Source organism: Homo sapiens, chromosome 12, assembly GCF_000001405.40.
Source record: "Homo sapiens chromosome 12, GRCh38.p14 Primary Assembly".
NCBI lineage: Eukaryota > Metazoa > Chordata > Mammalia > Primates > Hominidae > Homo > Homo sapiens.
The window spans coordinates 55,559,208-55,568,852 of NC_000012.12; positions in this window are offsets into that span (position 1 = coordinate 55,559,208).

The window sequence follows — 9,645 nt, forward strand, 5'->3', positions numbered from 1 at the left end:
GTGCTCACAAATGCTAGCTGACTACAATAGCCTCAGGCTCTGGGCAGCTCTTCATGGCTGGCAGGCAGGCCTCCACAGCCACTAGCTTCAGGAACTCAGCAGTGCTACACCAGCCTCAGTGGCCACAGCATTCCAGCCCAGCACCATAGTAACCACAGAGGTCCTGGGCCTAGAGTTCCCCCTAGCACTGAAAAGGCTGCAAAAGTCTCTGACATAGTGACCATGCTAGATGGCCTGACCAGAATCTCTGCACTGGCTTAATGTTAAAGAGAGTTTCCAGACAAAGCCAGTTTGCAATCACTGAAATAGATACCTACTTCTTCAAATTACAGATATCAACACATGACCACAAGGTTCAAGAACAATTAGGAAAACATGAAATCCCCAAAAGGCCAAAATAAAATGCCAGTGACAAACCCTAAAAAATGGAGATATACAAAAGACCTGACAAGGAATTCAAAATAACTATTTTAAGGAAACTCAGTAAACTTGAATAAAATGTTGAATAAAATACAGAGAAATACTTTCCTCAAAGAAACAAGGAAAACAGTAAATGACCAGAACAAGAAATTTAATAGAGAGATTAAAACAATTAAAAAATTAAACAGAAATCTGGAGCTAAAAATATGAGATAAAAATAGATTGTATAAACAGTGGACTTGATCAAGCAGGAAAAAATTCTGTAAACTTGAAGACAGTTTATATGTAAGTATAAAGTAAGCAGAGAAAAAAGAAAAAGGAATAAGAAAATATTACAGGATTTATGGGAATGCATCAAAACAGCAAGTGCTTTCAGTTTCTAGAGTTAAAGGAGCAAAAGAAAGACAAAGAAGTAGAAAAATTGCATAAAGAAATAATAGCAAAAACATTTCCAAACCTGGAGAAAGATATAAATAACCAAGTACAGGGCTGTCAAAGGACAATGAAAACACCACCTACCAAAACTTATGGGTTACAGCAAAAGCAGTTCTAAAACTAAACATTAGAGGAATAAATGCCTACATCAAAAAAAAGATAAACAACCTAACATTATACTTCAAGGAACTAGACAAACAAGAACAAACTAAACCCAAAATTAGTAGATGAAGAAAATAATAAAGATTAGAGGAAAAATAAACAAAATCAAGATGAGAAAAATGAGAAAAATATCAGAGAATGAAGTTAGTTTTTTGAAAAGATTAACAAAATCAACAAATCATTAACTAGAATAAGAAAAAAGAGGGGGTGCAGCCAAGATGGCCAAATAGGAACAGCTCCGGTCTACAGCTCCCAGCATGAGCGACGAAGAAGACGGGTGATTTCTGCATTTCCCTCTGAGGTACTGGGTTCATCTCACTGGGGAGTGCCAGACAGTGGGTGCAGAACAGTGGGTGCAGTGCACCATTTGCGAGCCTAAGCGGGGCAAGGTATTGCCTCACTTGGGAAGCGCAAGGGGTCAGAGAGTTCCCTTTCCTAGTCAAAGAAAGGAGTGACAGACGGCACCTGGAAAATCAGGTCATTCCCACCCTAACATGGCGCTTTTCCAATGGGCTTAAAAAATGGCACACCAGGAGATTATATCCCGCACATGGCTCCAAGGGTCCTACGCCCATGGAGTCTCATTCATTGCTAGCACAGCAGTCTGAGATGAAAATGCAAGGTGGCAGTGAGGCTGGGGGAGGGGCGCCCACCATTGCCTAGGCTTGATTAGGTAAACAAAGCAGCCTGGAAGCTCGAACTGAGTGGAGACCACCACAGCCCAAGGAAGCCTGCCTGCCTCTGTAGGCTCCACCTGTGGGGGCAGGGCACAGACAAACAGAAAGACAGCAGTAACCTCTGCAGACTTAAATGTCCCTGTCTGACAGCTTTGAAGAGAGTAGTGGTTCTCCCAGCACACAGCTGGAGATCTAAGAACTAGAAGACTACCTCCTCAAGTGGGTCCCTGAACCCTGAACAGCCTAACTGGGAGACACCCCCCAGTAGGGGTGGACTGACACCTCACACGGCCAGGTACTCCACTGAGACAAAACTTCTAGAGGAACGATCAGGCAGCAGCATTTGCGGTTCACCAAGATCCACTGTTCTACAGCCACCACTGTTCTGCAGCCACCACTGCTGATACCCAGACAAACAGGGTCTGGAGTGACCTCTAGCAAACTTCAACAAACCTGCAGCAGAGGGTCCTGCCTGGTAGAAGGAAAACTAACAAACAGAAAGGACATCCACATCAAAACCCTTCTGTATGTCACCATCATCAAAGACCAAGAGTAGATAAAACCACAAAGATGGGGAAAAAACAGAGCAGAAAAACTGGAAACTCTAAAAAGCAGAGCACCTCTCCTCCTCCAACGTAATGCAGCTCCTCACCAGCAATGGAACAAGGCTGGATGGAGAATGACTTTGACGAGCTGAGAGAAAAAGGCTCCAGATGATCGAACTACTCCGAGCTACAGGAGGAAATTCAAACCAATGGCAAAGAAGTTAAAAACTAAAAAAAAAAATTAGACGAAAGGATAACTAGAATAACCAATGCAGAGAAGTCCTTAAAGGAGCTGATGGAGCTGAAAACCAAGGCATGAGAACTAATTGAAGAATGCAGAAGCCTCAGGAGCCAATGAGATCAACTGAAAGAAAGGGTATCAGCGATGGAAGATGAAATGAATGAAATGAAGCGAGAAGGGAAGTTTAGAGAAAAAAGAATAAAAAGAAATGAACAAAGCCTCCAAGAAATATGGGACTATGTGAAAAGACCAAATCTACGTCTGATTGGTGTACCTGAAAGTGATGGGGAGAATGGAACCAAGTTGGAAAACACTCTGCAGGATATTATCCAGGAGAACTTCCCCAATCTAGCAAGGCAGGCCAACATTAAGATTCAGGAAATACAGAGAACACCACGAAGATACTCCTCGAGAAGAGCAACTCCAAAACACATAATTGTCAGATTGACCGAAGTTGAAATGAAGGAAAAAATGTCAAGGGCAGACAGAGAGAAAGGTTGTGTTACCCACAAAGGGAAGCCCATCACAATTTCATATCCAGCCAAACTAAGCTTCATAAGTGAAAGAGAAACAAAATACTTTACAGACAAGCAAATGCTGAGAGATTTTGTCACCACCACGCCTGCTCTAAAAGAGCTCCTGAAGGAAGCACTAAACATGGAAAGGAACAATCGGTACCAGCTGCTGCAAAATCATGGCAAAATGTAAAGACCATCAAGACTAGCAAGAAACTGCATCAACTAACAAGCAAAATAACCAGCTAACATCATAATGACAGGATCAAATTCACACATAACAATATAAACTTTAAATGTAAATGGACTAACTGCTCCAATTAAAAGACACAGACTGGCAAATTGGATAAAGAGTCAAGACCCATCACTGTGCTGTATTCAGGAAACCAATCTCACGTGCAGAGACACACAGAGGCTCAAAATAAAGAGATGGAGGAAGATCTACAAGCAAATGCAAAACAAAAAAAGGCAGGGGTTGCAATCCTAGTCTCTGATAAAATAGACTTCAAACCAACAAAGATCAAAAGAGACAAAGAATGCCATTACATAATGGTAAAGGGATCAATTCAACAAGAAGAGCCAACTACCCTAAATATATATGCACCCAATACAGGAGCACCCAGATTCATAAAGCAAGTCCTGAGTGACCTACAAAGAGACTTAGACTCCCATACAATAATAATGGGAGACATTAACACCCCACAGTCAACATTAGACAGATCAACAAGACAGAAAGTTAACAAGGATACCCAGGAATTGAACTCAGCTCTGCACCAAGCAGACATAATAGACATCTACAGAACTCTCCACCCCAAATCAACAGAATATACATTTTTTTCAGCACCACACCACACCTATTCCAAAATTGACCACATAGTTGGAAGAAAAGCTCTCCTCAGCAAATGTAAAAGAACAGAAATTATAACAAACTATCTCTCAGACCACAGGGCAATCAAACTAGAACTCAGGATTAAGAATCTCACTCAAAACCACTCAACTACATGGAAACTGAACAACCTGCTCCTGAATGACTACTGGGTACATAACGAAATGAAGGCAGAAATAAAGATGTTCTTTGAAACCAATGAGAACAAAGACACAACATACCAGAATTTCTGGGACACATTCAAAGCAGTGTGTAGAGGGAAATTTATAGCACTAAATGCCCACAAGAGAAAGCAGAAAAGATCCAAAACTGACACCCTAACATCACAATTAAAAGAACTAGAAAAGCAAGAGTAAACACATTCAAAAGCTTGCAGAAGGCAAGAAATAACTAAAGTCAGAGCAGAACTGAAGGAAATAGCAACAGAAAAAACCCTTCAAAAAATTAATGAATCCAGGAGCTGGTTTTTTGAAAAGATCAACAAAATTGATAGACCGCTAGCAAGACTAATAAAGAAAAAAAGAGAGAAGAATCAAATAGATGCAATAAAAAATGATGAAGGGGATATCACCACCAATCCCACAGAAATACAAACTATCATCAGAGAATACTACAAACACCGCTATGCAAATAAACTAGAAAATCTAGAAGAAATGGATAAATTCCTCGACACATACACTCTCCCAAGACTAAACCAGGGAGAAGTTAAATCTCTGAATAGATCAATAACAGGCTCTGAAATTGTGGCAATAATCAATAGCTTACCAACCAAAAAGAGTCCAGGACCAGATGGATCCATAGCCGAATTCTACCAGAGGTATAAGGAGGAACTGGTACCATTCCTTCTGAAACTATTCCAATCAACAGAAAAAGAGGGAATCCTCCCTAACTCATTTTACAAGGCCAGCATCGTCCTGATACCAAAGCCAGGCAGAGATACAACCAAAAAAGAGAATTTTAGACCAATATCCTTGATGAACATTGATGCAAAAATCCTCAATAAAATACTGGCAAAATGAATCCAGCAGCACATCAAAAAGCTTATCCACCATGATCAAGTGGGCTTCATCCCTGGGATGCAAGGCTGGTTCAATATATGCAAATCAATAAATGTAATCCAGCATATAAACAGAACCAAAGACAAAAACCACATGATTATCTCAATAGATGCAGAAAAGGCCTTTGACAAAATTCAACAACCATTCATGCTAAAAACTCTCAATGAATTAGGTATTGATGGGACGTATCTCAAAATAATAAGAGCTATCTATGACAAACCCACAGCCTATATTCTACTGAATGGGCAAAAACTGGAAGCATTCCCTTTGAAAACGGGCACAATACAGGGATGCCCTCTCTCACTGCTCCTATTCATCATAGTGTTGGAAGTTCTGGCCAGGGCAATTAGGCAGGAGAAGGAAATAAAGGGTATTCAATTAGGAAAAGAGGAAGTCAAATTGTCCCTGTTTGCAGATGACATGATTGTATATCTAGAAAACCCCATCATCTCAGCCCAAAATCTCCTTAAGCTGATAAGCAACTTCAGCAAAGTCTCAGGATATAAAATCAATGTGCAAAAATAGCAAGCATTCTTATACACCAATAAGACAAACAGAGAGCCAAATCGTGAGTGAATTCCCATTCACAATTGCTTCAAAGAGCATAAAATACCTAGGAATCCACCTTACAAGGGACGTGAAGGACCTCTTCAAGGAGAACTACAAACCACTGCTCAAGGAAATAAAAGAGGATACAAATAAATGGAAGAACATTCCATGCTCATGGGTAGGAAGAATCAATATCGTGAAAATGGTCATACTGCCCAAGGTAATTTATAGATTCAATGCCATCCCCATCAAGCTACCAATGACTTTCTTCACAGAATTGGAAAAAACTACTTTAAAGTTCATATGGAACCAAAAAAGAGCCCGCATCGCCAAGTCAATCCTAAGCCAAAAGAACAAAGCTGGAGGCATCACGCTACCTGACTTCAAACTATACTAAAAGGCTACAGTAACCAAAACAGCATGGTACTGGTACCAAAACAGAGATATAGATCAATGGAACAGAACAGAGCCCTCAGAAATAACGTTGCATATCTACAACTATCTGATCTTTGACAAACCTGACAAAAACAAGCAATGGGGAAAGGATTCCCTATTTAATAAATGGTGCTGGGAAAACTGGCTAGCCATATGGAGAAAACTGAAACTGGATCCCTTCCTTATACCTTATACAAAAATTAATTCAAGATGGATTAAAGACTTAAACATTAGACCTAAAACCATAAAAACCCTAGAAGATAACCTAGGCATTACCATTCAGGACATAGGCATGGGCAAGGACTTCATATCTAAAACACCAAAAGCAATGGCAACAAAAGCCAAAATTGACAAATGGGATCTAATTAAACTAAAGAGCTTCTGCACAGCAAAAGAAACTACCATCAGAGTGAAGAGGCAACCTACAAAATGGGAGAAAATTTTTGCAACCTACTCATCTGAAAGAGGGCTAATATCCAGAATCTACAATGAACTCAAACAAATGTACAAGAAAAAAACCAACAACTCCATCAAAAAGTGGGCAAAGGATATGAACAGACACTTCTCAAAAGAAGACGTTTATGCAGCCAAAAGACACAGGAAAAAATGCTCATCATCACTGGTCATCAGAGAAATGCAAATCAAAACCACAATGAGATACCATCTCACACCAGTTAGAATGGCAATCATTAAAAAGTCAGGAAACAACAGATGCTGGAGAGGATGTGGAGAAATAGGAACACTTTTACACTGTTGGTGGGACTGTAAACTAGTTCAACCATTGCATTGTGGAAGACAGTATGGTGATTCCTCAGGGATCTAGAACTAGAAATACCATTTGAGCCAGCCATCCCATTACTGGGTATATACCCAAAGGACTATAAATCATGCTGCTATAAAGACACATGCACACGTATGTTTATTGTGGCACTATTCACAATAGCAAAGATTTGGAACCAACCCAAATGTCCAACAGTGATACACTGGATTAAGAAAATGTGGCACATATACACCATGGAATACTATGCAGCCATAAAAAAATGATGAGTTCATGTCTTTTGTAGGGACATGGATGAAATTGGAAATCATCATTCTCAGTAAACTATCACAAGGACAAAAAACCGAACACCACATGTTCTCACTCATAGATGGGAATTGAACAATGAGAACACATGGACACAGGAAGGGGAACATCACACTCTGGAGACTGTTGTGGGGTGGGAGGAGGGGGGAGGGATACCATTAGGAGATATACCTAATGCTAAATGAGGAGTTAATGGGTACAGCACACCAGCATGGCACATGTATACATATGTAACTAACCTGCATATTGTGCACATGTACCCTAAAACTTAAAGTATAATAATAATAATAATAAATTTTTTAAGTAAAAAATAAAAAAATAAAAATTGTTGGCAAGGATGTGGATAAAAGAAATCCTTTGGACTGGACACAGTGGCTCATGCCTGTAATCCCAGGACTTTGGAAGGCAGAGGTGGGAGATTCACCTGAGATCAGGAGTTTGAGACCAGCCTGGCCAACATGCTGAAACCCCATCTGTACTAAAAATACAAAAATTAGCTGGAAATGGTAGCATGCACCTGTGATCCCAGCTACTCTGGAGTCTGAGGGAGTAGAATTGCTTCAACCCGGGAGGTGGAAGTTGCAGCGAGCTGAGATCACACCACTGCACTCCAGCATGGGGGACAGAGTGAGACTCCATTAAAAAAAAGGAATCCCTTGCACATTGTTGGTGGGAATGTAAGTTAGTACAGCCATTATGGAAAACAGTATGGAGGCACCTCAAAAAACTGAAAATGCAACTACCATACAATCCAGAAAACCCACTACTGGGTATATATTCAAAGAAAGGAAATTAGTATGTTAAAGAGATATCTCTAGTCCCTTGTGTATTGCAGCACTATTTACAATAGCCAAGGGATGGAATCAACCTAAGCATTCATCAACAGATTAATGGATGGAGTGCAGTGGCCCAGCCTTGACTAGCTGTAACCTCTGCCTCCTGGGTTGAAGTGATTCTCATGTCTCAGCCTCCTGAGTAGCTGGGATTGTACAACTGGCTAACTTATTTTTTTTTTTGTATTTTCAGTAGAGATGGAGTTTTGCTGTGTTGGCCAGGCTGGTCTTGAACTCCTCACCTCAAATGATCCACACATCTTGGCCTCCCAAAATGCTGGGATTACAGATGCCCAGCTGAGTTGTGGTCTGGCTGCTTCTAACAATCTATGCTCATATATGTGAGCAAATAAATGATATGAAATTGGAACTTACATCTAAAGAGGAAGGAGAGAGTAAAGATTTGAAAAAATTACAGCCCAGTTATGTGATAGAAAAAGAAAGCCCATTTTCAAGGAAGGAATTCAAGTGGGGCTACAAAAATTTGCAAACCTAAAAGGAATGCAAGTGCTGATAGTCAAGACAACAGGAAAAAGGCCTCATAGGTGTTTCAGAGACCTTTGAGGCAGGAACTGCCCTGCATATCCTTGGGACACTGCTACCTGCATCCCAGCCACTGTAGCTCCAGCCATGGCTCAAAGGGGCCCAGGTACTCGGGCTGTTGCTTCAGAGGGTGCAAGACATAAACCTTGGTGGCTTCCATATGGTGTTAAGCTCACAGGTCACAGAACACAAAAGTTGTTTCTTGGAAACCTCCACCTAGATTTCAGAGGATATATGGAAAAACCTGGATGTCCCAGCAGAAGCCTGCTGCAAGGGTACAGCCCTCGTGGAGAACCTCTACTAAGGCAGTGGAGGGAAAATGTGGGGTTGTAGCCCCCACACAGAGTTCCCAGTGGGGCACTGGATCTGTGAGAAGGCAGCCACCAACCTCCAGATCCCAGAATGGTAGAGCCACCAACAACTTGCACCATGCACCTGAAAAACCCATAAGCACACAACCCCAGCCCATGAGATCAGACATAGGGGTTGACCCCTACAAAGCCACAGGGGTGGAACTGCCCAAGGCCTTGGCAGTCCACCCCTTGCATCAGTGTTTCCTGGATGTGTGACATGGAGTCAAAGGAAATTATTTTGGAGCCTTATAATTTAATGACTGCCTTTCTGGGTTTCAGACTTTCATTGGAGCCTGTAGCCCCTTTCTTTTGGCTGATTTCTCCCTTTTGGAATGGAAGTATTTACCCAATGCCCGTATATCAGTTCTATCTTGGAAGTGACTAACTCATTTTTTATTTTACAGGCTTATAAGGGGAAGGGACTAGCCTTGTCCCAGATGAGACTTTGGCCTGTGGACTTTAGAGTTAATGCTGAAATGAGTTAATACTTTGGGGGACTCTTGGGAAAGCATGATTATATTTTAAAATGTGAGAAGACATGAGATTTGAGCAGGGCCAGAGGAAGAATAATATGGTTTGGATATGTGCCCCCACTCGAATCTCGTGTTGAAATGTAATCCCCAATGCTGGAGCAGGGCCCTTGTGGGAGATGATTGGATTATGGGGGTGGTTTCTCATGGTTTTACAACACTCCCCCTCAGTGCTGTCATCACAATAATGAGTTCTTGCAAATGTGATTATTTTAAAGTGTATATCACCTCCCACCCCTCTCCCTCTTGCTCCTCCTCTGGCTATGTAAGACATGCCTGCTTCTTCTTCACCTTCCAACATGATTGTAAGTTCCCTGAGGTCTCTCCAGAAGCAGAAGCCAGTGTGCTTCTGGTAGAGCCTGCAGACCTGTAAACAAAT